Source organism: Homo sapiens, chromosome 11 (assembly GCF_000001405.40).
Source record: "Homo sapiens chromosome 11, GRCh38.p14 Primary Assembly".
In the NCBI taxonomy this organism is placed as follows: domain Eukaryota; kingdom Metazoa; phylum Chordata; class Mammalia; order Primates; family Hominidae; genus Homo; species Homo sapiens.
Genome location: NC_000011.10, coordinates 34,084,995 through 34,111,677, shown reverse-complemented (window position 1 = coordinate 34,111,677; position 26,683 = coordinate 34,084,995). Strand labels below are relative to the sequence as shown.

The 26,683-nt window shown below is 39.8% G+C and overlaps 2 protein-coding genes across 7 annotated transcripts in view, besides 1 other annotated feature; both read right to left on the bottom strand.

Annotated features, from left to right (window-relative positions):
* Nucleotides 1–6,049, bottom strand: part of NAT10 (N-acetyltransferase 10) — a 41,280-nt gene extending 35,231 nt beyond the window's left edge. The window contains exons 1-3 of one of the 2 annotated variants that reach the window (NM_024662.3): nt 5,886–6,049; nt 3,345–3,467; nt 2,845–2,936 (exon numbers count right to left, since the gene is read on the bottom strand). In NM_024662.3, coding sequence (NP_078938.3) covers nt 2,845–2,936; nt 3,345–3,452 — 200 coding nt within the window. In that variant the 5' untranslated portion in view covers nt 3,453–3,467; nt 5,886–6,049. The remainder of the gene's footprint in view (nt 1–2,844; nt 2,937–3,344; nt 3,468–5,885) is intronic. The other variant, NM_001144030.2, reaches the window with a different exon arrangement.
* Nucleotides 5,837–6,296: an enhancer, noted in NCBI's record as "active region_4592". NCBI's record gives its function as "activates an Ori minimal core promoter by ATAC-STARR-seq in GM12878 lymphoblastoid cells {active_cell/tissue: GM12878}" and the evidence as "EXISTENCE:reporter gene assay evidence [ECO:0000049][PMID:35858748]".
* CAPRIN1 (cell cycle associated protein 1) overlaps nt 9,068–26,683 on the bottom strand; it is a 50,880-nt gene continuing 33,264 nt past the window's right edge. For 2 of the 5 annotated variants that reach the window (NM_005898.5, XM_047426959.1), the window contains 10 exons: nt 25,459–25,614; nt 25,265–25,373; nt 22,222–22,283; nt 21,389–21,499; nt 21,000–21,149; nt 19,622–19,772; nt 15,005–15,199; nt 14,382–14,482; nt 13,917–13,980; nt 9,068–12,375 (listed from right to left, as the gene is read on the bottom strand). In NM_005898.5, the coding sequence (NP_005889.3) occupies nt 12,311–12,375; nt 13,917–13,980; nt 14,382–14,482; nt 15,005–15,199; nt 19,622–19,772; nt 21,000–21,149; nt 21,389–21,499; nt 22,222–22,283; nt 25,265–25,373; nt 25,459–25,614 (1,164 nt within the window). In that variant the 3' untranslated portion in view covers nt 9,068–12,310. Of the gene's footprint in view, nt 12,376–12,617; nt 13,981–14,381; nt 14,483–15,004; nt 15,200–19,621; nt 19,773–20,999; nt 21,150–21,388; nt 21,500–22,221; nt 22,284–25,264; nt 25,374–25,458; nt 25,615–26,683 lie in introns of those variants that run through there. The other 3 variants (XM_047426960.1, XM_047426961.1, NM_203364.3) reach the window with 2 other exon arrangements.

Below are 26,683 nucleotides of genomic sequence, written 5' to 3'. Positions count from 1 at the left end.
TGTTCCCCAGAGATCCTAGGAAAGACAAGGTGATGGCACGTTACTTTATTCATCCTTCCTAGAGGACTTCCTCCCCGAGAATGTGGGATTATGTCTTCAAGGGCAGGTCTTACATAAGACAATAATGATACAGGACACAGGGATCAGAATGGAATCTGGACATCTCTAAGGAATTCCTGAATTTTTTTGGTCTTAAAAACCCTGCATATCCAGTTGCTACTTACCTTTCCTTTACCAAAAGAGAGAATTAGAATGTTCTAGAATGGAGGATTACAGCTGATCAAAATTTTACCATAGTTCTCTAACTTAATAGCTAGAACAAAGGCCTTTCCTCCTGTGGGCCTCCACTTCCTCATCTATGAACCAAGGCAGTGGGTGAGTTTGTCTCCACTGTCCCTTCTGGCTCAGGCCTTAAGCCCGTGACTTACAAACAGGCATTAGCTTGAACACAATGCTCTGCCAGACTAAGACAGGGGTGGGGCAGAAGAGCTATAAGAGGTACAAAAGTAGATTTTTAGAAGTGAAGCCAGGTGGTTTAAATTCAAAAGGCAAATCTGCCCAGAAGACTTTGAACTGCCTAATTCCACACCCATCTCATATTTGCCAAATGAAAAATAGTGAAAACCAGAAGCCCTAAAAACTTAAAATTCTGGGATAGACAACAGGCCTTATTCTCAATCTGTATTAAAAATGCCTACCTCTCTAAATATGAGAGTATATACAACAGAATACCAATTATGGTTCAAAACTACATCCCTGTAAGATACACCTAGATGCTGACAATGCCTAGACAGTGAGATGTTTTTTATTTTCATCTTTGGGTTTTCTGCACTTTTCACATTTCATCAGTAAGGCTCTTATGATTGTCTGGTTTCCTTTAGGCAGAATCCCTTCACTTTAAGACCACAGGACAGGGGCAAGTTTAGCCTCTGGTACTAATTTAAATTAAAATAATTTTAGAGCCTGTTAACAACACATCCAACTCAATGTATACTGAGTACCTATGATAAACATGCTAAATCAGTTAAAAGTATGAAAATACAAAGATAAATAGAAGAGGGCTCCTAACTAAATAAGCTTATCACCTGAAAGTAAAAAAAAAAAAAAAAAAAAAAAAAGGGAAAGAAAAAAAAATGAACGTAAGTCACAGTATGTAAGTGACTTTACCCTAAAGCAAAAGCATCCATTGGCAAACATTATAGGAGAAGGACAAGTGCAGAGGAAGGTAGAGGAACCACCAGGTATGACTGGGGGGCTCAGGAAAAGTTTCACGGAGGAGGCAGGCCCTGAGAAACAGGATTTCAATAGGTGATACCGGGGAGGTGGAAGTGGCATTCCAAGCAGAGGAGACAGCATGAGCAAAGAAAAGGAGGGAGGTTAGTCACAGCATAAAGCAACCAGAGCTGGAGACAGGCTTTCAGAGTCAGATCGGAGATGAGCACATTTGGAAATTAGAAGAGGCTCAAGGACAGAATCGCACAAGCCAGCTAGGTTTAGAGTAAGGAGACGAGATCCAGAGAAAGAGAAGAGCTCCGGAAGGTGGTCTGAGTAAAGACACTGAAGCCAAAAAAGGAGACTATTTCTTAGGTGATGCCATGGTGGTTATCTGCCAAGGAACAGCACTACCCACCCCATCCAAACTTCTCCAAACACAAAGTTGTAGGTAGAACTTCCAACTTTGTATTATGCTATGACCAACCCCACCCTCCTCTGGCCAGGTGTGGGCATTTTTCCACCAGAATTTTGGGAAAAAGTCTGATTTCCACATGGCTGGGCCTGAAACAAGGAAAACGCAAGTGTTGTTTCTGCTAGGGGGACAACAGAAAACAGAAAGCTGGTCTGCAGTGAGAAAGTTGGTCTGCATAGAGCAGATACACTGAGATGACAAACTGAGCTGGGAGCATTAGTACTGTGACTCTAGATCACCCGTGAGCAGAGCTGAAATCTTATCCCCTTGGATTCCAGGAAATATCCCATATACCTCAATGAAATCCCTTTGTGCCAAATTGTATTTGTGTTGAAAGTATGTTATCTATGACTAAAAGTCTTGACTACCACAGCTTCAAATAGCCAACTGTCAAATACAGCAGTGAACTGGTAGAAGAAGAGGCAGAGCTCTGAAAAGGAGGAGAAAGAGAGAGAAAAGTTGACGCATTAGGCATCAAGCTGCTGGGGATGTCTAACTGCACAATTTGATCACAATTATAGAAGCAGAAACCAGACTGCAAAAGTGGCTACTAAGTGCAAAAGATTTCTGTTTTAAGGTATATGGCAATAAAAATCGGGGGAAATGCTAACCTGAGAGAGAAATCTGGGTATGTAAGTAATCAGCTTTTGATAATAGAAAAATCTGAGCATGTTTACAGGAAGGAGAAAGTTTCCAAAGGGTATTGGGTGGCCAGCAGAGGAAAGACAATACAGGTCCTGAAAGAGGTGAGGGAGGAGACACAGGGTACATAAAGGGGTTTTCCTTGGACATGGGATGAGGCATATACCCCCTCCATGAAAGAAGGGGAGAAAAAGAGAGAGAGTGAAAAGTGGAATAAATTTGAGGTAGGAAAGACAGTTTGAAGGAACTTGCAATGAGATGGGCTTAATCAGCCTAGAAAAGCAGGAAGGAAAACCATATGCAGAAGGCAAGGCATTGGATTGGTGACTTAAAAAGCATGAAAATGATTTGAAACTTATTTTCAGGAATGAAGAAAGGATATCAGCTCCATTTGTCCTCAGAGATAGCACCTCCACTAAAGACCCTTAAAAAATATGTGAAGGAATCATTTCCTGGCATTTAACTAATGAGCAGGAATTGTAAGTTGGATAAAACACATGAAGAGCCCAGCTTACCTGCTAAACCCCAGCTCTTTCTTATAACACCACAGCACTGAAGGCCGAGCCTTCACAGTTGCTTTGGATAACATGTGATGAAGTATTACCACCTGCCAAACAAAAAAGTCACAGAATTTCAGGCACAAAAGAGACTTTAGAGACCGCCAGGCTTAAGACCTCATTTGACGGATGTGGAAACTAAACTGAGGGCCAGGGAAGGGAAGTGCCCAAGGTTCTAAGGCGAGCAATGACCAGGTTTGGACTAGAAGCCAGGTCACATACAGTTCACTTTGTGGTCAACCCACCACCCCAGGCTTCAAAAGGTATTAGCTTGTCTGCGAATCAATCTAAATACAGAGAATTCACCACTTCCAGGAAATAAAGAAAGGTTCCCACTAGGCATCTTACCAGCCAAAGAGATCTTAATGCCATTATGTCCTGAAACAGCAGAGTGCTTAAACATGCTGATTCTTTGGACAAGATAAAAAGTAATTCAGGAAGCATTTACCAGGCCATACCTGATCTTTTCCTCGATCCCCAACTACAACAAAGAGAGATCTTTGCCGCTCAGCTACTCCATTCTCAATGAGAATCCGGATTCGGTTATCCACCTTTTTCCGATGCATGGTGAAAAATTATTACTAAAAGAGAAAGAAATACAACTGGCCATGCGCACTAGATTGTCTAAGGAACATTAGCTGGCTGCCTTTTGTGGGGCCTGGGACTGTGCTAGGCATATCTATAAGTATTGTCTTACTTAACCCTCTACGAGCTCCACAGGAAGACATCAGCCTCTAGTTTTAAACTCAGGAAACCTTAGGCTTGGGAGGTGAGAAAACCTTCCCTCAGCCTGGAAAGCCTGTAATTCACCTCTATTAAATATTTTTTAAAAGCCAGAAACTTGTATATTCAAAAAAGTAGAAGAATGACTAAAATACATAAGGAGATATCCAAATATCCAAAGCATTGTTTGTTTTTGAGACGGAGTCTCACTCTGTCGCCAGGCTGGAGTGCAATGGCATGATCTCGGCTCACTGCAACCTCTGCTTCCTGGGTTCAAGCAATCCTCCTGCCTCAACCTCCCAGGTAGCTGGGACTACAGGCGCATATGTTGGCCAGGATGGTCTCGATCTCTTGACCTCGCAATCTGCCCACCTCAGCCTCCCAAAGGGCTGGGATTACAGGTGTGAGCCACCATGCTGGGCCAAGCATTTTTAACAACTAAGGATATGGATATAGATGCTTATGACAAGATCATGACAGAATAAAGTATGATAACATTTCTTATGCATACACATAACAGAGGGAAAAATAAAAAAGACTGGAAGGAAATACCAAAGTATAAAGTAGCTACTTCTGGATGGTGGGACTTTTATTTTGTTCTTTTGTTTTTGTGGAATCTTAAAAAATTCACGTGTTACTAATAAAGTCAGGGAAATCAATAACCATCAATGAATAATTCCATGATGTAATGTGTCCAACTGTTTCCTCATTTTAGGGAAAACGATATTGAAGCCTTTGTACAGACAGACCTCAAAAGTTCTCGCCGGGAGTGGTGGTTCATGCCTGTAAGCCCAGCACTTTGGGAGGCCGAGGCGGGTGGATCACCTGAGGTCAGGAATTCAAGAGTATGGCGAAACCCCGTCTCTACTAAAAATACAAAACTTAGCCGGGAGTGGTAGTGGAGCTGCAGGAGAGGCTGAGGCAAGAGAATCACTTGAATCCGGTAGGCGGAAGTTGCAGTGAGCCGAGATGGTGTGCCATTGCACTCCAGCCTAGGCGACAGAGTGAGACTCCGTCTCAAAAAAAAAAAAAAAAAAGTTCTGTGATTACCTACAGTAAAATACTGCATCATCCCAATAAATACATCAAAAAAACCATCAGAAATATCACTGTAAAAGTAACATGCTACTTAGATGTAAAAGTGACATGCTACTTAGAAACTCTGGTACCTACTGCATTATAAACATAAAGCTCATTTACTGAAACTTACCATACCTTAACTGTCCCTTCTAACCTTCCAATCCAAACAGATTTTAGCATATGTCTTACTATAAAACACTAAGTCACTGTCAAGGACCCCAATTTATACGTAAAGGAGAAAGTATAAAGAATTCAAATATCCCGAGGCAGAAAAACGACAGACAGAATTCACACTCAAGTCTTCCTGACTCCAAAGCCTGAGCTCTTCCCAGTTCGCCAATCTTCCCAACTTGTAAACCTTGTGTTGCCGGCCACATAAAGATCCCGCAAAAATCAATCAACAACTAATTAATGGGGGCTGCCTTTTGCTCTAGCTACTGTGGGAGCCCCAGAAGTAGTACCACAAGGCCCTTGACTTCAAGCTTGCATTCTTCTTGAAGAAGGTATTTAAGAGAATGAGATGAGGAACAAGAACACAGGTAAAATTAGATGTAAAAAAAAAAAAAATAGCTATACTGAGGGACCGGTCAGATGAAGGAAGGGCTGAGATTACTATGGGCTGAAGCTGTCATGGAAGGCCTGGATGGGGAAGGCCTTGAAGGAGATGATTATTTTTCGCTCACTCATTCGTCTATCTACACATAACATCTATGTGGCAGGCACCATTTTAGGTGCACTGGCAAACAAAACCAAGTCCTGAATGTGACTGCTGAATAAAGAGTATAAAGGAATGTGCACAGTGAAGGATTTAAGAACGTGGAAGGATCTGGAATCAGATTACCCTAAGTATAATGCCCAGACCTGCAGCCAGGCACTGCGGGCAAGCTCCACGGAAAACAACTGTTGTCACCCACCCATTCACCCCGACTCCCCAGTTACAGGCACTACTTAGAGGTGGTTATCGAGCCACGCAAATCCCCGAGGACGCTCGAGAAGCACGCGCCGAGAGCGGCTGCGTATTGGAGAGGTGATTCTGTTATCTTGGAGCGCCCCAAAAGAGGGGTGGAGGACAAACGGCGTAGGCCAGGTATCCGTCCGGATGCAGAGCCTTCATCCTGAGGCCGGTCCCCTCTCGACCCAGGAAGAACACAGACACCGATCTTGGCATCCATACCCGGCCCTCCCGCGTTGGGTACCTGCGCCCCGAGCCCGGGGGATCCCAGCCAGTGGAGAAGGGGAAGCACGTGGGAGCACGGAACAACTCCGAAAGAGAAGGCACAGCTGACTGCCCCTAGCGTATGCCTGGTGTCCGGGTCACGTAGTAAGCCTGGCTCCGCGGCACGCGTCCCTCTCAGGAACTGGTAGACAGCACGTGCGCAAGCGCATTAAAGTCGCAGAGATGGCGAGCGAGAAGGGACCTTCCTCAAGGCTGTCGCTGAGTAATGACGTAAGCCACCAGAAGCGGAGCTGAGGCCTAGATGTCCACTGCGGTTGCGCATTTTAGTCCCACTGCTCGCGGTAGCTGGGTGTTGGCTGCGGTTTGCCTCTTCACTCTTCATATCCCAGCTAAAGTACCTCGGCTAAGAAGGGCAAAATAGATGTCCGCACCCCAGGGCCTGCCCACGTAGGTCCAGGGTTTTCAGCGTCAGCCTGGTTACGCGAAACGCGACGGATCCAACGATTTGTGTTCAATTTAACCGATCCCCGTTAAGTTGAGGAAACTCGGCCAACAGACCTATTTTATTGGTTTCGCTTGGCCCTCCACCCCCACAGTACTGATCTTACAGATGGGAATCCTGTAATCTACCCATGACTGCGGCCGCTGTACTTTGCAGGCTCCCATTAGGCCTGTATATGGTCGTCAAATGAAATTACTCCCCCTGGGCTTCCAGTGAACTCCAAGAACATGACTACAGGGACAACCTATACATAGTGTTGCATTCTTGACTTTGGGGCAGATCGCTGAACTTCAAAAAACATTATCAACTGCTTGATGTTTCCTCCTGGATACCGCAAATGTCTGAATCCAAACCCCTTCCCCAGATACACTTTTAATGTCATCAGCAGCACTACCCATTTAATCCAACATCCATCATGAAATTTTTTAGTTCATTCAGCAAAATGTGAATATGCCCACGCACTATTCTGCTCACAAGGGATAGTGTCCAAAATGTTCCTGCCCCTCGTGGTTAATTCTAGGTTAAGTTTTAAATGCTATTAAGCAGAAGTATCCAGTGAGTAAAGTGACTAAGGATACTATTTTAGAAACGAACACTGAAGGCCTCTGACGGGGTGACACTGGATGGAACAAGGACCTGAAATTTAGAAAGAATGAGCCCTGAGAATATGAGTGAAAAACTTCCCCGTGCCAAAGATGTACATACAAAAGCTCCAAGATGGGGGAGTCCTGGCAAAGCAGTCAGTGTGGCCAAAGCAGTGGGCAAGTGAAGGACCAGATTTAGAATTTAATTCTAGTCATGATGAGAAACCACTGGAGTTTGTGGGGGACAGGGAAATGAGAAAATCTGCTTTGCCCTCTTAAAAGGCTTCCTGTTATGCAAAAACTAAATCACAGGAAGGCAAAAGTAGAAAAAGGAGAACAATTATAAGCTATTGTAGTCACCTGTGCTAGGATGGTAGTTGTGGTAGTAGTTAGAAGTATAAGATAACTCTGGATATTCAAGTTAGAACCACGTGGACTCACTTAAGGATTAGATGCAGGTTATAAAAGTACATTGAAGATGGCACCCAAAACATTTGCTCTGAGCAACTGGATGAATGAACAACTGGTGTTGGGTAATCAAGGAGTTGACTTGGAATATTGAGAAATTCATATCAAGATGTTGAATATGAGTTTTGAGAGGTTTGGGGCCTAGAAATATTCAGGACTAAAATGCTGATCATATTCAAAATCATGGGATTGGATCAGATCACCCAGGGAAGAACACAGCTAGAGATGAAGTCTGACATCCAAGACCTGGAGAAATCAGCAAAGGATACTGAGTAGTGACCAGTGAGATAGGGAATCCATAGAATCCATTCACTACCACCACCCCATCCGCACCTTAAGTTGGAATCCATTTCTCACATGGGCCACTCCAACAAGCCTCCTTACCATCTCTTGGTCCATATATGTTGTTCATTGCATTGAATGTTCTTTAAATGGTAACTTTATTAAGTGAGCCACCAACCCCACCCCAAACAATACAGCCTTTTTTTTTTTTTTTTTTTTTTTTTTTTTTTTTTTTTTTTTGTGAGACGAAGTCTCGCTCTGTCGCCCAGGCTGGAATGCAGTGGCGCGATCTCTGCTCACTGCAACCTTCACTTCCCGGGTTCAAGCGATTCTTCTGCCTCAGCCTCTCAAATAGCTGAGACTACAGGCGCATGCCACAACGCCTGGCTACTTTTTTATTTTTAATAGAGACGGGATTTCACCATATTGGCCAGGCTGGTCTCAAACTCCTGACCTCGTGATCCACCCGCCTCGGCCTCCCAAAGTGCTGGGATTACAGGCACAAGCCACCACACCCGGCCCAACACACAGCTTTAAAACCTTCAATAGTTTGCAACTGTTCTTAAGAGACAAAACATGGGATGCAACTATTATGCCGTCCATAGTAGCCTTTACCTGTTTCTCTAACCTGTAACTCTGCTAGTCCTTTCTCTTTCCACTTGATCCTGATAACTTTCTCAGTCACTGGTGATCAGATGTTTAGGTATGTTCTTCTCTCCCTTTCTTTGACTAGTCTGCTACTCCTCATCCTTCAAATCTAGCTCAATTACCCCTTTCAGTTAAGTCTCCCCTGATCATTTTAACTAGGGTATACACTCAGTCATGGCTTTAATATCTGCCATCAACCACATTGCTCCATCATGGCATCTGCTACACTTTGGTGTCATCAGTCTTTGATTAGACAGTTCAATGAAAGCAGAAACCACAGTAATTTTTGTCACCACTAAATGCCTAGTGCTTGGCATGATGCTGGGCAAAGGATACCCTAATTTGCTGAATAAAGCCTTAGTTTAGTTGCTTAATACAGTGTGTCTCCCTATTAAACACAGTACTTAAAATTGGTATTTCCAAATAAGCATTAATACACAAATGCCTTTGCTAGATGATCAGGAACAAACTGCTGATCTTCCACTGCCTCTACTCAAAACAGCCGTACTGCTTATGTAACTGGATTAAGCTTCAGAACAGCTTGTTAAAAGTAGGATATTAGTAGCAGAAGCTGAGAAGTGTATTAGATGAGGCTATCAGATTGCTTTTATAAACCTTTTCCTCTCTTCACACCAGTAGCACTTCTTCACCTACAGCTTTTGCTGGATGGTTTTTAACAACTTAAGCAGACTGCGTTCAAGGACAGTGAGAAAACCAGACTTTCATATTATTTAATCTAGTGTAATTTTAAACATTCACTAGTCTTTTGCAGTATTTTTGTAGGATTCAAAATGGAAAAAGGTATGAAGATGAGCCTTAACAATTTACTTTCGTTTTCCTGAGGGGTCTTCCTCCCCGTTAACTCCATAAAAAGGACAAGATCAAGGGCAATACTGATTCTGTGAAATCTAACTTATAATCAACTAAAATTTAGAATGCTTAAAAACAACCCAAGTGGAATGCAGATTCAGGAGCTTAAACATAAAATGAAGGGTTTGAATTCGGCACTTATCTGCATTCCACTTCCTCTAGTTATATGACGGAAAATATAATGAACAAATGTCCTAAAACACTTAGGAAGCTGACTGCTCAACTAGTTGTTAACTCATCACCTCAGTTAATGAACCTTCTGAGAATAAGCACACATTCTATGTCTCCTTTAAGTGGAAAAGTCTCCCACGTAAGAGCTGCATATAAAAGGAGACAAAAGAACTGTAGAAGCTAACTGATTAGAAATACTTAAAGGATATTTGTTTTAATATCAAGGTACAATGATTGAAAAAAAACTTTTCCATATTTTTTAGGAATTATTAGGATCTGGAAATAAAACTGCCCTAATCAAGGTAATCAATAACATTCTACCTTTTTAAGTTTTAAAAAAGAAGTTTCATATCCACATGAGATGATTTATATTATGCATATACAAAAGTATTTTGTATGTGAGCTTGCTACACCAAGAGGCTACAGTGACATGTGTGACAATCATTTCCTTGAAACTCTGCTAAAATATGCATTTGACCAAACAAAAGGCCTTCTGCAGCTAGGACAAGCAATCACATATTATACAGAATGCTTAGAACCAAGATTCAGATCTTAATGAGACTTATTGAAAAGTTCTCTGCCCCATAATGAGGCACCCCTTTAAAAATATGGTCTGAGTAGAGACATAAAAGATATACATTTAAACTGTGATGGTAAAATAACCAAAAAAAGAAAAATTATAGTTCAAAAAAAGGAACAATTCTTTGAAAAAACATACATAGAAACAGTCAAACTATGAACACCTTTACACATTCACAACATCTGCACTAATGCATAGAAGTTCAAAACCTAGAAGGCATTTTCTCCCCCATCCCTTCTCTGAAACTGATTCAGAGGTCACTGTGTGAAGAACTTACTTCAGTCCTGATTGTAAATGTCATGAAATTATTTTCTACACAGATAGCAAATTTAGTTTTATATAGGACTGCAAGCATACATCATCTAGGGATTACCCAGTAAACCACAAATATTTTATCCATTCCCCTAAGATACAGGTAACATATGGTTGTGGTACATCCCAGGCAGATGTCATTTAAAGCACGCAAGGGGAGGTGCTAGCAAAAAAATACTCATTTGCCAAAGTAACAGGTTAACCCTTCCAATATGATGTACCACAACCACACATGAGAAAAGTCAAGAACTTATTTTATTTTATTTTAAAATAAACATTGAAGATCCCCCATTTCCCACCACCCTACAAAACTTTTGAATGTGGAATGTTCAACAGCCTATCCATTTTGGTAGGTTACAAAACCAGCAAAAACTCCAGTTGTCTAATGATGAATGTTTGAGAATAGTTTTGTTTTTAAATAGCTGAGCACCTACTGGAAGAATTCCTGGGCTAAATGCTGAAAATAAAATTTAATTTCTGCACAGAAAATACCATTAACTTAGTAGCCTTTGCTTAAAGGTGGGATTAATTCTCCATGAAGTCAGAATGAGACAATAAGCAGCATTAACTTCCTAGGCACACAGAACTAGTGCTCAAACTGCTAGCACAAATTCCAACAGAGTACATAAGGCTAAGTCACTACTCAAGTGTCCATTTCCATCAAATTTAGAGACTCTCCCTATGCATCTAAGGGAAGGAATTATCACTGAATATAAATGCCTCCAGGAGAAACGGAGAATTCAGTTAAGGTTAAATTAGACAAAAGATAATAAGTGCAAGTACTAGAGAAATGTTGCTGGAGATAAACCATAAAATTTGTGACACTAACGTGGCATGGGGTGAATCACATAAGCTGCTAGCTGTTGAACACCAGTGTTTCAAGATACAACTTTTATAAACGTTTTATTTGTTTTGCTTATACCATCAGAACTGAAACTACTGTCCGTGATTTCCCTGAAACAGGGAAATCAATCTAAAACACATACTGGTGCCTTTCAAAAGATAGCAATTGAAAAGGGTGGTAGCAGCAGGCATTTGGTATCTTTTCCTTTTAAAAAAAAGCTTTCAAGCTGAAGGAAAAACATGTGACCGAGAGTGTTATGATTATCCACTAGAGATTTTCATCAGTACCTGTACCAATTTAGGTGACAATACAGCAAAATCCAAGGATTAGTGACAGACAATGTACATGTCATAAGGAATGATAGATAGTACCAATCCTTACAAAAGTCATTGTCTCAAAGAAACTGTTAAGTGTTCAAAAAGGTATCTAAATATTTCACATTAAGTACAGAAGCGGCCATCCGGATTACATCCCATATTTGTTGCATATTTTTCAAAAAGTGCCAATCAAAGCCTAATTTTGCATCTTGGCTTTGTCTTATACAGTATCAGCTGTTAAAAAGCATTTTACATGTGTTTTTAACCACAGTTGTTTGGCCAGATGAACAGTGCTGTGTCAAAGCTGGTAGCCAGCCTTATATGTGTGATTAGGACCCATGCATAATTTGGTATGCATCTGAACGTTCAGTGCTCCAATTTAACTGGAAAAGCTGTGAAATGCAGTTGTTCTGCCAAACCACACTCCACTCCTTTCATCTTCCTTTCTAGGGAAATAATTTAGTTTGTCAGTTATCATTGAATAACTCGAGGGCTGATTTGTAGATTTTATCCAATGTCATAAAAGTCAATCTTGCCTTTTTCAAGCCACTTCAAATAACTATGGAGATTATTATCACCCTGTAAAGTATATTGTTTTACTCCTAAGCAAGGGTGAGGAATCTGAGTATCATGTGCAAGGCTCAAGATGACGCTTAGGACAGAACATGCAGAGTAAAAATAGTTTCCTTCCATATCCAGGTAATAGAAAGCTGACAATTGTAGTCCTGTCTTTATGGGATGAAAACAGTCCCTTTACAATAAGTTTCCTGAAAGGGAGAACAAATAGATAATAACTCTTCTGGTAACATATTATGGTACACTGGCCAGTGTGTTTTTGGCGATTAAACATAATCCTGTGAATCAGATTAATTCACTTGCTGAGTGTTCATTTGCGGCATCCCTCTGTTGGGTCTTGGGGGCCCTCCACGACCTAGAAGACAAAAATGGCATTTGATTTTTCTTTCAAATATTATTTGTTTTGCCTTCAAGCAGATTTTCATCTGAAGTCAAGAAGCATGTGGGCAGCCTGTCACCACATTATTAGGCTTAAGAGGTCAATTCTTCAGTGTTCAAGTTTCCCCTGTCCTGGAAGTTGTCATGCGCAAATTTGCTCATGTTCTCTTAGCTAAAAGAAGAGTAAAGCTAATGGAGTATTCCACCAGTACTCATTCATTCATTCATTCAACAAATATTTATTGAGTGCCTACTATGTGCCAGGCACCATCATCAAGCGTTGGGAATAGATACAGCAGAGAAGACAGACAAGGTACCTGCTCTCATGGAGCTTACATTCTAGTGTACACTCTAGCTTACATTTCAGTAGTAAGTAACATCATACTATCAAAATTAATAAAAGCACCAGAATGAAAACAGACCTTATTACCTAAACTGTTAAAAAGAAACTACATAACATTCAAAACTGTATAATGACTTTTAACAGATAAAATAACTTTTTACATGCTGTTAAAACAGATTTTTAGCTATCAGTTAACTCAACTTTCATCGAATATGCTACAAGGTGGGAAAGAACATAACCCACATTCACATGCAAACATCCTTTGATACTTCTAGTCAAGTCAGTAATTCCCAAGTGATCCATTAATTTTTAGAAAAATGTACCTTTTTCCTGGCCAGTTTCTACTAGTATTCAAATCAAAGTACGTTGTAATTCCTCCTTAACACACATTTTATACATGTTATGGCCAATAGAGGAAACCTGTTTGATGTTTAACCTCCCTCAAATCAGAGAACCATTTAGAATTTCAGACTACATGAAATGCTAGCTCTAATTGTTAAATAGGTTAACTTCCTGCCAAAATGGGAAGTAGTTTTCCAACAGTAAAAGAAAAACAAAAAACTCTCTAAACCTGTAATTTTTTTTAAGTATAGCTCAATAAGTTAGGAATTTGGGAGTTTTGTTTAAAAGTCAGAAATAACTTGATATTTATATCACTAATAGAGGTCCAAAAGGCATTGCAAATTCCATTAGTTCTATCACTTCTAAATGGTTCTCTAAATGTTAACTATGGCTTATCCGGCCATTAAAGGGTGTCTGGCCCTAAAATATAATAGGCATGTTTCAAAAAAATGAAAGAGGAATAATAAATTTATATAAATGTTCAATCTCATTCCAAAAATGTCTTACAAAAATGTTTCAGTAAGTACTTCCTAAAAACATTTAGCAGGTTTTAGGACCTGAAAAATAATTTTCAGTTGGAAAAACACTTTTTCTGAGAAGAGAATATGTTCTAGTTTTCAAGACAGTTTATATAGTAACAGGGAAAATTAAATCATTCAAAAATTAAAATTTGGGTCCAAGATTAAGTTTTAGAAACAGAGCATTTCATTTAATCCCTAGCAACAAGTCTGGAAAGGATAAATGTATTCCTAACATGCAGACTATTAACAGCTCTTCCAAGGCCAGAACAGAAGCTCCACTTAGGAGCTAGGATCACCACCACAAAATATTACCTCGTGGGGCTCCCCGTGGTCCACTCTGCCCAGAGCCTCGCTTGAAATTCTGCTGATATCCATCCTAAAAGACAAGCTAGTTAGTATTGAAAAGGTACTTTTTAAAAAATGCTTACCCATCTATTCTTTCAGTCTAACACTCAATACAGAATTCTTCCTTAATCTTTTAGACACTTCAGTATCAGTTTATCACAGCTACACCTTGTTCTGTAATTGTTGTACTTCTACTATTCTCAAAGAACATTCAGTGAAATATATTTCTCTGCTCTTGGAAATCACTGTCTTTAACAGGCTTTACTAAAGGAGTACTGATGTTGAGTGCTAAAAGCTTTTGTTTCAACAGAGTGTCTTGGACACCACAAAGTTAACGCCAAATTAGTTACTTAGGTTCATTAAGCAACAACACTAAGTCACTTTCATTGGTATATTTAGTTCAGGTTTACACTTTAGAACTACTTTACCTACCCGTTGATAGCCAGAGTAATCCCGGGGAGCACTGAACTGAGACTGTGTATAACCACTGTTTGGAGTGTTAGAGAATGAAGGGCGGTAACCATCATATCCTCCTAAAATTTAGGACAAGAAAAGAAATAATTTTCTTATCTTCACAAGGAATTTTTACTTTTTTATTAATGAAGACGGGAAGAACTAGAAATTATAAGCCAGGCTAGTTAATCAAATTAATCTCCAATTTCCTATCTTGATCCAATCTGTTTATAAATTTCTGTAAGTACTAACTGCCCCTCAGAAGATAAACTTTTAACCCATCTATGCATGTAAACACACATCTGTACAAATATAATAAACAATCCCCGTAAGTTTTGGTAATGTGGAAAATACTTATCCTCCAGGAGATAGTGGTAGACATTAATTTGACATAACCAAATGAACAAAAATTCCATGATCTGTTATTTAAATAACAAATTATACCAAATACACAAATTGTACCAAAATATACATTGTTTAAATTGCACATAGGAGGCTAATGCAGATACATCCTTCCCAAAAACTGTGTGATATATTTTACAAATCAAAAAATAATTTGAACTAGTAAAAGGTCATTAGAACCTCCTTTTTTATTTTTTTACCTCTGAATCCATTGGCAGGGCCCCGGTATCCATTCATCAAGCCTCTAGCACCACGGGAGCCTCCACGAGACACACCACGACTATTGTAATAGGGCTGATTGCTACGTGGAAATCCAGTGTTCTGCTGAGGAGGCTGCTGGTGGTTACCAGTCACTTGATGGGACTGGTCTGGGGAACCATGGTAAGTGCCAACCACTATAATTTAAAAAAGAAAAAGATATATACATAAACAGCTCATTACCGTTTGTTCTCCCACGCACTTTCTAGTTTAAGAAGTGTCTTATACAGTCTCCTTAAAGTTTAATCCTTAAATTTGCATACAATGATAAGAAAAACTACACATGAATAAAGTCTCTTACCTTTCTCCTACCCTTAGACTCAGCTATTGGGGGTAAAATTCTCCAACCACAATTCCAAACCTTTGAAAGCAGGGTGCATGATTGATCCTTCCAAACAAATTATTTGAAAGGCTATATTAACGTCTTCTGAAAGGCATCTACTTTTTAGCACAAGAGACCCAAAATAACTCAAAAGATTTACTCTTAGTACATTACCATTTTGTACCATTTAATTACTTCTTTTCATTATAAAGCTCCTTAGTGGTAGAAGTTTTCTTATTCTTTTAAATATCCTTTTTTTTACTTAGTAAAACATACAAAACCACTCTCTCATATTTAAGCAGCTAGATGGTAGAATATGTCATCAACTACATAGTTTAATCAGCAGAGGCCTTCGACTTGTAGCCCTTAATGCCAAATTCCATTTCAAAGTATTTAAAATGGCAAGTATAGCCAATTTAGAAAACAATCACATGGTACTCACATTGGCACTCAACCCACTTGAAGGTTCTAGACTAAGGTACACACTAACATATATACAAGCTCCATCCACAATGGACAGAGTTCTAGAATCTAGAAATTTTCAAAAATTCAATACTACAGAACAATGTTTATAATTCAAAGAGGAGAAAAAAATAGGGTGCTAAAAGTACCTTTGGGAGGTGAGGAAGGCAACAGAACAAAGGAAGGCCCACACACTAACAACAAGGGTCAGAAGCTGCTGGCCAACCCAAATCTCCCCTTTTGGGGCAGAGAGAAAAGCAGCTGTATGACTCTTGAAAATCTTTACTTGACCTATTTTACACCCTTAAGAAACTCCAAATACATTAATAGTTGTTAGAATCCTATTTTACGATGAAAGCACTAGGGAATACCTAGAGAAAAAGAGAGAGCCACTGCTCCTCTTGAATTACTTAGTAAACCAACTACATCGGTGTCATCTTTTTACATAGATTGCCTTTTATTATATTCCCAAAATTTAAAATTGTAAGTGAATGACAAATACACATAACATTTTCCTTGTAAAATGGTTCATGTGTATCCATGTACAAAGTAGCCAAAAGAACTGAATTTTAGAATCATTTTATCAATAACAGCTTTTAATCTTGATCAAATCTCACTGTAAGAAATTCATAGCCAGGCTGGGTGTAGTGGCTCACACTGGTAATCCCAGCACTTTGGGAGGCCAAGCTGAGCAGATTACTTGAGCTCAGGAGTTTGAGACCAGCTGGGCAACACAGTGAGACCCCATCTCAACAACAACAACAACAACAAAATACAAAAAATTAGCCAGGCATGGTGGTGCATGCCTGTGGTCCCAGCTACTTGGGAGGCTGAGGTGAGAGGATGGCTTAAGCCTGGAAGGAAGAAGTTGTAGTGAGCCGAGATCGTACCACTGCACTCCAGCCTGGGAGACAAGAGCAAGACTCTGTCTCAAAAAATGAAAGGAAAAAGGAAAGGAAAGAAAGGAAGAAACTCACAGCATAATAACTTAAGTGTGATCTTTATTTTATTTAATTTTCACTTTTAAGACAAGGTCTAGCTCTCTCACCCAGTACTGCTGAGGTTGGAGTTCAGTCAAATAATCTTGGCTCACTGCAACCTTGAACTCCTGGGCTCAAGTGATCCTCCGGCCTTAGCCTCCTGAGTAGCTACAACTACAGGCATTCACCACCTCACCCTGCTAATTTCTGTATTTATTTTATAGAGGTGGGGCTCTGTGTTGCCCAGGCTGGTCTCAAACTCCTGGTCTCAAGTGGGCCTCCCAAAGAGCTGGGATTACAGGCGTGAGCCACCACACCCAGCCTTCATTTTATTTTAAAATACCCAAATTCCTACTTAAATTTTGGTAAAGTATAAACTTGTAGGCCATTTTAAAAAGCCAAAGATTCTGTCATGTTGTTCCTGATTAGACACTAATTCAAAATAAAATTTCTAAAATGATGGGACATACTGAAATGATTTCTTCAACAAATATCAGGCCGGGAATGGTGGCTCACGCCTGTAATCCCAGCACTTTGGAAGGCCGAGGCGGGTGGATCACCTGAGGCCTGAGGCAGGAGGCCGAGGCAGGAGAATCGCTTGAACCCAAGCGATTGAACCTAAGAGGCGGAGGTTGCAGTGAGCCGAGACTGCATCACTGCACTGGACAACGGCCCACAATGTATACATATTATTTCATCATGAACGCCTGGCCTCAAGCAATCCTGCCACCTCAGCCTCAAATGTAGCTGGGATTATAGGTGCCAGCCATGAAGCCCGCCCACAACGGACACACATTTCAACACATCATGCTGTATACCATAAATACACATATATATAGTTTCTACTTCTCAATTAAAAATAAACAAATGAACTTTTTTTAAAAAAATAGAAAAAGCAATCCATGTACTTATCAGTGGGAGAAAGTTTTCGGCAAGAAGGAAAGTAAGTATGAAGGCCCTGAGATTAAAGAGAACTTGCTGCGTATGTGACTGGTGTTCGAGACCAGCCTGGACAATATGGTGAAACCCTCTCTCTACTAAAAATACAAAAAAAAAAAAAATTAGCCAGGCATGGTGGCCTGTGCTACTTGGGAGACTGAGGTAGGAGGATCCCTTGAACCCAGAAGCAGAGGTTACAGTGAGCCATGGTGATCACACCACTAGTTTTTATCATTTGGAAGCTGAGCATAGTATAACTGATAACTTCTATCAGAGTATGGAAGATTCGAGCTTCATATTAGTGATACTGAATACTACAGGATGTGTAAGAATTTACTACTGAAAAATCTAATGCTGATCCAAGTTTACCAAGAAATTGAATAATTAGAAAATTTTACAACTTTTCAAAATCGGGCTGACAAAATGAAAGTATTAACTCCTCTGACTGCTGGTTTGTTGTGGGATTCCAATTAAATTCTGAGGAATTAAAGAACTAAAGAAGACATCATGGTGGCTCATGCCTATAAGGTAGAGGTGGGAGGACTGCTGGAGGCCCTGAGTTTGAGAAAAGCCTGCAGTCCAAGCTACTTGTGGGGAGTTAAAGGCTCCAGTACAGGATTTGAGCCCCAGAGTTAAAGGCTCCAGTATCTGATTACACCACTGCACTCCAACCTGGGCAACAGACAGAGACCCCATTTCTTAAAAAAATATATATATAAAAAAAAATCTAAAGTATCTCTATCGAGCTAGACAAGGTAGTTCATGCCCATAATCCCACCACTCTGGGAGACAGAGACAATAAGTTCGCTCAAGGCAAGGAGTTGGAGATCAGCCTGGCATCATAGTGAGCTCCTGGAGACCCTATCTCTACAAAAAAAAAAAAAAAATTAGCCAGCCATGGCGGTAAGCACCTGTAGTCCCAACTACCAACTACTCAGGAGGCTGAGGGAGGAGGATCATTGAGCCCAGGAGTTTGAGGCTGCAGTGAGTTATGCTGGCATCACTGCACTCCAGCCCGGGCAACAAAGTGAGAACCTGTCTCAAATACATAAAAGCGTCCCTACCTACATTACTATCGTGACAGGTATGGTAACTAGCCAAATTATGACCTTACTTGACAAAATAGATTATGTTTCAACCCAGTCCACGAAATGCAGCCACCATGAGTTTTTTCTTAACTTTGTCTAACTGACTCAATGCCAGATATCATGCTAAAAGCCTTCAATCAATTAACAATTAAAAGTATAGTTTATCACCAGGTGCAATGGCTCACGCCTTTAATTCCAGCACTTTGGGAGGCTGAGGTGGGCAGATCACGTGAGCTCAGAAGTTCAAGACAAGCCTGGGCAACATGGTGAAACCCCAACTTTACCAAAAATACAAAAAATTAGCTGGACGTGGTGGCACATGCGTGTATTCCCAAGCTACTTGGGAGGCTGAGGTAGGGAGGATTGCTTGTGTCCAGGAGGCAGAGGTTGCAGTAAGCCGAGATCACGGCACTGCGCTCCAGCCTGGGTGACAGAGTGAGACCCCATCTCAAAAAAAAAAAAAAAAGTACACTTTATGGTAATTCAAGTAACAAATTTAATTCCATATAAATTATACAATGCAACAGGGATATTATGTAAGTTCAGTGACAAAAGGAAAATGGCTATAAAGCCTCCAAAAATTGCACATAATTCACATATACAAGTACAGACTCAATTTAACTCATGATCTGAAATGAAAAATTCATATGGTCTGCTACTAAAACAGAAACTCTTGGACACCACCACTCTGAAGTCTAAACTGTCCTAACACTGTCAATAACTGTGCTGGAAAGCAAGGAGCCAATGAGGTGACACTGGATTTCGTACCTGTTTGAAGCTGTTCTTGCTGAAGCTCTGTTTGTTCTACTTGGTGAGGCTGACTAGAAAAGCTCTGGTTATAACTGGCCTGGTACTGATTTTGCTGTTTTAAAGTTTCTGGTTCATTAACAGGAGGAACTGGGGCATTCATATTGAACACCTGTTAGTAAATAAAGTAAATGATTAGTTCATCCTTTTATTCTCTGGTTTATAACATGGCCAAACTCAATGGTGGTTTTACCTCAGACATAAATAAAGACATCACAGAGGTCTCAAACACAAAAACATCACACACACATACAAAAATCCCTCCAAGTGATTCAATGTGGAAAAAGACATATATACCATATAGTACTTAAAGGGGAGTATAATATGCTGTGAAATGGAAGTAGGGAATTAAAAAAAATAAAAAGACATGCAATCAGCAGCCTTGGAAATGCTTTTACATATATGAGAAATCTTTTTAAAAGACAAACTCTGGCCTGGCACAGTGGCTCACACCTGTAATCCCAGCACTTTGGGAGGCTGAGGCAGGCAGATCATCTGAAGCCAAAAGTTCAAGACCAGCCTGGCCAACATGGTGAAACCCCGTCTCTACTAAAAATACAAAAATTAGCTGGGCATGGTGGCTTATGCCTGGAGTGTCAGCTACTCCAAAGGCTGAGGCATGAGAATCGCTTGAACCCAGGAGGCGGATATTGCAGTGAGCTGAGATCACGCCACTACACTCCAGCCTGGGCGACGGAGCAAGACTTTGTCTCAAAAAATAAATAAATAAGACAAACTCCTGGATGCAGTACCACTTACAGAAGTTTGTTCTATGAACTTTAACAGGGTTGAATGTTTTTTCATTTTTATTAACATATTAATCAAAAGTTATTTTAATATTTAATCTTATGAACTTTCCTCTCAGCACCGATTTAGCTGCACCCCACAGATTATAGTATTATTATTATTTTCTAGAAATTCTCTAAAGGTGCTTGCTCAAGAATCAAGGTAAAGCATAACATCTGAAACTTCAAAATACTTCAGTAAAATAAAAGATTAAGCAAACAGGGCAACTATTAAATCTAGGTAATGATTATATGGATGTTATATTAGTCTATTTCTCTGAATGTTTAAGCTTTTGTTAATCAAATCAAAAGGGTAAAACTACAAATTAAGATGATACAGGCACATCACTCATAAGGCTAAAATTTATCTCTAGAATATCCGTTAGTATCAGTTAATCTCTGGAATAATCAGTTTATGTTCAATTAAATATACCCTACAGTTAATGAAAGATGCAGACTCAAGCACAGTTAAATGAAGACCTTTAAAAAAGAAAAGAAAATCTACCATGATTCATATTACATACTAGGCAATTAATGTTAGTTAATTTGCTTACCGTTTGCATGGATTGGAATGGAGCTGCATTTACATTGATTCCACTGCTATGTAAAGGTTTGCTTGTCCCAGCCTGAAATACTTGAGGCTGAGACGCAGCAGGAAGGGATGATGATGCTGTAGTCTGGTCTGTATTTAAAGAGATTGTTGCCTAAACACAAAGTGAATAGATGCACTTTAGCGGTAAACTAAACTTAGCCAAACAAAAAGTGAACAGATGTACTAAAGTGGTAAATTAATCTCAAACTTATATGTATTAACAAACTCAAATATTTCATGAAAGCAAAGTAGGTCCAAAAAGAAGAATCATTATATTAATGGTAATGTACATCTGTTCAATTCATGAGTAAGTGCCTCATCAAATGTATGTGACCCGGTAACAGAACTTGCCTGAATCTGATCAATTGGTTCCTTCTGTGGTCGTTGCTCTGTAGCATGAGAAGGCTGGTACAAGGGTTGAGATGCTGTGTACCCCTCACTTGTGGATGATACCAAAGGAACCTAGACATAAGTAAAGAAATAAAAGCTTCTTCCTGCTTACAAAATTGACTGTTAAAAAAACAAGTTACCTCTAAGACGCATAAGGCTAAGAAATAGATACAACTGCTAAAGAAGGGAGAAATTAATATTACCATCTCTCTTTAAATTTGTATAATATAAAACCTAAAAATTGCAAAAATATATATATTTTTGAAGCTCGACGTTAAATAAACCCAAGTCTCGTTATAAAAGCCCTCCACAAGTACTTCTAAGATGGAGAAATCTGCACTAAATTTTAGAATTATGTCTAAACTATGTCTTCTGAAATTCTCAGTTCTAAATAAAAAAGGCTTATTATATTATAATACATTATTTAAAATGCAAGACTTAAGAAAAACTTAAAAAGTCATCAAGAGGAAAAATGAACCTAAACATAAAAATAAAGGCTGACAGCTATCCACAACAATAAATTTGCTGAATTCCAACAGAAGACTTGGACACTGATGAAATTCTTATTTTCTTTCATAAGCTAAGAAAGAAACCAAGGAACCAATTAAAACAAAAGTGAAAAAATATTTTTTAATTATTTTTTTAAAATAGAGATGGTGTCTCGCTACACTGCCCAGACTGGTCTTGAACTCCTGACCTCAAGTGATCCTCCCATCTCAGCCTCCTAAAGTACTAGGATTATAGGTACGAGCCACCTAACCTGGCCCTGAAGAAAATAGTTTTATCACTCTTACCTGTGTCGCTTCTGGTTGTACAGGAACTTGATTAGGCTGAGCAAGTCTAGATTCAGAATGAACTGCAAAGGTGACCAAAACATTTTTGTCAAACAAAATTAAATTTTTAGAGAGACGCGTCTAAATACCTTTTATTTCGCTATTAAAGGCTTTTTTTTTTTTTTTTTTTTTTTGCGGGGGGGGGGGGGGGGGGAGTGTCTCACTCTGTCACCCAGGCTGGAGTACAGTGATGTGATCTTAGCTCACTGCAACCTCTGCCTCCCAGGCTCAAGTGATCCTCCCACCTCAGCCTCCCAAGTAGCTGTGACTACAGGTGTGTGCCACCACACTCGGATAATATTTGTATTTTTAGTAGAGACAGGGTTTCGCCATGTTGCCCAGGCTGGTCTCAAACTCCTAGGCTCAAGCAATCTGCCCACCTCAGCCTCCCAAAGTGCTGGGATTATAGGAATGAACCACCATGCCCAGCAATTAAAGGTAAATTTCTATAGCCAAACCATAAATAAACTTTTTAGCAATCATGAAAGTAAATTGGGAAATGCAGATAAAATTTTAGCTTTCAAGTGAGCATTTTGGTTTACCGGCAGTGGTTATTATTTAATAGTTTACTTTCACAATTGGTTTCATCTTGTTTTTTCCAAAAGTAAAGTAAAATGTTAATAGAATGCACTAACAAATAATCAGTGCCATGAAAAAAGACTTTTAAAGCTGTACAATAAAGTGGCATTATTCATACTCTAGACCTCAGACAGATAGTATTCCATTTTGACCTTTTGTTTCTTCTGAAACAGGGTCTCACTGTGTTGCCCAGGCTGGAGTGCAGTGGCGCCATCATAGCTAACTGTAGTCTCAAACTCTGGGCTCAAGAAATCCTCCCACCTTGGCTTCTTGAGTAGCTGGGACTATAGATGCATGCCACCCTGCCAAGCTAACTTTTTTATTTGACTAATTTTTAATTTTTTTGTAGAGGCGAGGTCTATGTTGCTCAGGCTGGTCTCAAACTCCTGGGCTCAAGTGATCCTCCCTCCTCAGCCTCCCAAAGCACTGAGATTACAGGCATGAGCTACCATACCCGGCTCAATATATGTTAACATAACCAACTTTCAATTTCAAGTGTTTCTAGAGAAAAAGAAAATTTAAAATATGTACTTTTCGGCCAGGCACAGTGGCTCATGCTTGTAATCCCAGCACTTTGGGAGGCCGAGGCGGGTGGATCACGAGGTCAAGAGATTGACACCATCCTGGCCAACATGGTGAAACCCCATCTCTACTTAAAATACAAAAATTAGCTGGGTGTAGTGTGGTGTGTGCCTGTACTTTCAGCTACTGGGGAGGCTGAGGCAGGAGAATCCCTTGAACCCGGGAGGCAGGGGTTGCAGCGTGCCGAGCCAAGAATGCGCCACTGCACTCCAGCCTGGCGATAGAGCGAGACTGCGTCTCTAAATAAACAAATAAATAATATATACTTTTTAACAGCCTATATTCAACTCAGCATGCATCTTCTTAACAATTCCCATCACTCTCTCACCTCCCTTCCCAACAATGATTAAACAGATAATCAAAACGACGATCTTTGGTTAGTCATTTAGAAAGTACCCATTTTCACTGGAGAGTCTAATGGACTCAGCATTATGTAAATAACTAAATAGCCTTACAGGTTTTATCAGTGCTATGTATACTGACTTTCACACAACTCCCCAGCTGAGAAAACGACTTACTCTCTTCCTTTGGTAGAGCTCAGAAAATGAACACTAAAAACCATGATTGCTCTCTTGTAGGTGTCACCTTTGATCTGTTTTCTAAAACTCTTGATAGAAATGTGAGAGCCGGGCGCGGTGGCTCACGCCTGTAATCCCAGCACTTTGGGAGGCCGAGGCGGGCGGATCACGAGGTCAGGAGATCGAGACCATCCCGGCTAAAACAGTGAAACCCCGTCTCTACTAAAAATACAAAAAATTAGCCGGGTGTAGTGGCGGGCGCCTGTAGTCCCAGCTACTTGGGAGGCTGAGGCAGGAGAATGGCGTGAACCCGGGAGGCGGAGCTTGCAGTGAGCCGAGATTGCGCCACTGCACTCCAGCCTGGGCGACAGAGCGAGACTCCGTCTCAAAAAAAAAAAAAAAAAAAAAATGTGAGAGATATGAGCTCCCTTTACTTCAGAAAAATCCTAACTACCTTACACCAAATTAACTGTCATTAAACATACTTTTACTCAGCAATTTATTTTATGATATTTAACATCATGCAACATTAAATAGGTTATTTTATTTAGTTCCACTTTTGTGCAACTAAAACTGATGTGTTCTGGGAAAAACCAAGATGACTCACAATCACTAATAGTCCTGGAGAGAAGGTCCACTTAACCCAATGGAAGGCACCAACTGTATTTAGTGCTACTACTTCAAATAATGGTGTAAGTCCAGAAAGAGTCTGAAACTGTCTTGTGGTTTCTCTCTTCCCTTTGCCTCTTACATATTCCCTTACCCACTTCATTGCTGTGTATTTTTTTAAGGTAATAAAATCCAGAAATTCTCCTAGAAAGCTAAAAGCATTCAAAAAAAGGCACCTCTATTATTTTTACTCCTAGATTAATTTTGAAATTTTAAAAGCCAAGCAAAATTTCACTTGTTAAAGTTACAAAAACAGACAAAACTGGTCTATTACAGTTACAAGTACGGAAGTGGTTGCTATCGCTAGGGGTGAGGGTAACTAGTGATTGAAAGGAAACAACGTAGGTTTCTGGGGTACTGGTAATGTTTCATTTCTTAATCTAGCTGCAGGTGTTTTCAGTTTATAAAAACTCATTAAACTTGCGTATATTTTTCTATATCTACATGCCAATGAAAAGTTTAAAAATAAACAGTTATAAACTACATTTTTAATTCAAATCATAGGAACAATAACATTCTTTCTATCAAATTAAAAGACCTAAGAGTCAAAATTAAACAGTCATTAAAATAAACAAAATTTATTTTCACAATCTTTTTAAAACCTGAAAGTACTGGCCTTATATTTCTCTCTCACATAAAAATGTACCACTACTAACCTGGAGGGCAAACCAGCTGGGGCATGTCCATGTTTTGTGTTGGATTCATAGGCTGTGCAGATACAATGGCAGGATCAAGTGTCTGATTTTCAAAATCCAGCATTGAATCCTACAGGTTAAGTTAGGATAGAATAAAGTCAAATAATATAAACACTTAAACTTTCTGTTACAGAGTCTGACTAAAATGAACATACCTGTATGAAATTATAGGGACCCTGCATTTGTGCCATAAGGTCTTGTACTCGCTGTCTTCTCACAAGGGGATCTGCCTGAGCCACTGGAGTCAAAGAGTGGGGCTCTGGTACTGAAGGGGATGCAGCCTGAGGTTGCTGCTGGAGTGAATTTACCACCTAAGGTAGAAAAAAAAGGATTAGAAGGAATAGGAGAGCAAAAAAGCTCCACTCACTACCACCATGATGGGTCCCCCACACTACATAAACCATCTATACTATAAACAGAACGGGCTTTAATGCAGTTACCCAAATGAATTACATTTATGCCAAATTTAACATTCTGAAAAATGTCATCACTTCTACAGTGTTTCAGTTCCATAAGACCACTATGTAGCATTTCATGTTGATTTACTTATTTATTTATTTTTTTTTCTTTCGAGACGGAATCTAGCTCTGTAACCCAGGCTGGACAGCAGTGGCGGGATCTCGACTCACTGCAACATCCATCTCCCGGGTTCAAGCAATTCTCCTGCCTCAGCCTCTCAGGTAGCTGGGATTACAGGCACCCATCAACACACCCGGCTAATTTTTGTATTTTTAGCGGAGACAGGGTTTCACACCATATTGGCCAGGCTGGTCTTGAACTCCTGACCTTGTGACCCACCCGCCTTGGCATCCCAAGTGCTGGGAATACAGGCATGAGCCACCATGCCCAGCCTCAGATTTATTTTATAAGCTGCTTTCAAAGAAAGATTACCTGTGTTTACATCCTAAAATAATGTATTTTTCTTAAAACTGTTATGCCTTCTATAGTAACTGGATTTATATATCTATGTCAAATATATATCTATCTCACAACCTGGTACATAGCACTCAAGAAATGTTAGCTATTATTATCATCAAGATTTGGGTTTTTCCCATTCCATTTTCTCAGCCAACACCATAGGATCAAGCTTTACCAACTCATCTAAACTGCTACAGAAGCCAAAGCTCACTCTATTAGCCTTTTCCCAGCTCTAATAATTTCCTCTGCTTATTGTTCTTAGTAATTCCCTGCTCTGCAAGGAAATCCTATCTTTTATTACATCAAATTTATATTATTCTGTCTGGATTTAAAACTGGACAAGTCATACTGGTTGAAACTAGGCAAAATCAGCTATTCCCTTTATAAACAACACAGATAAAAATCACTACCAAAGCGAAACCAACAATCTGTGTAATACCAACTTCAGGATGCTCCAAAAAT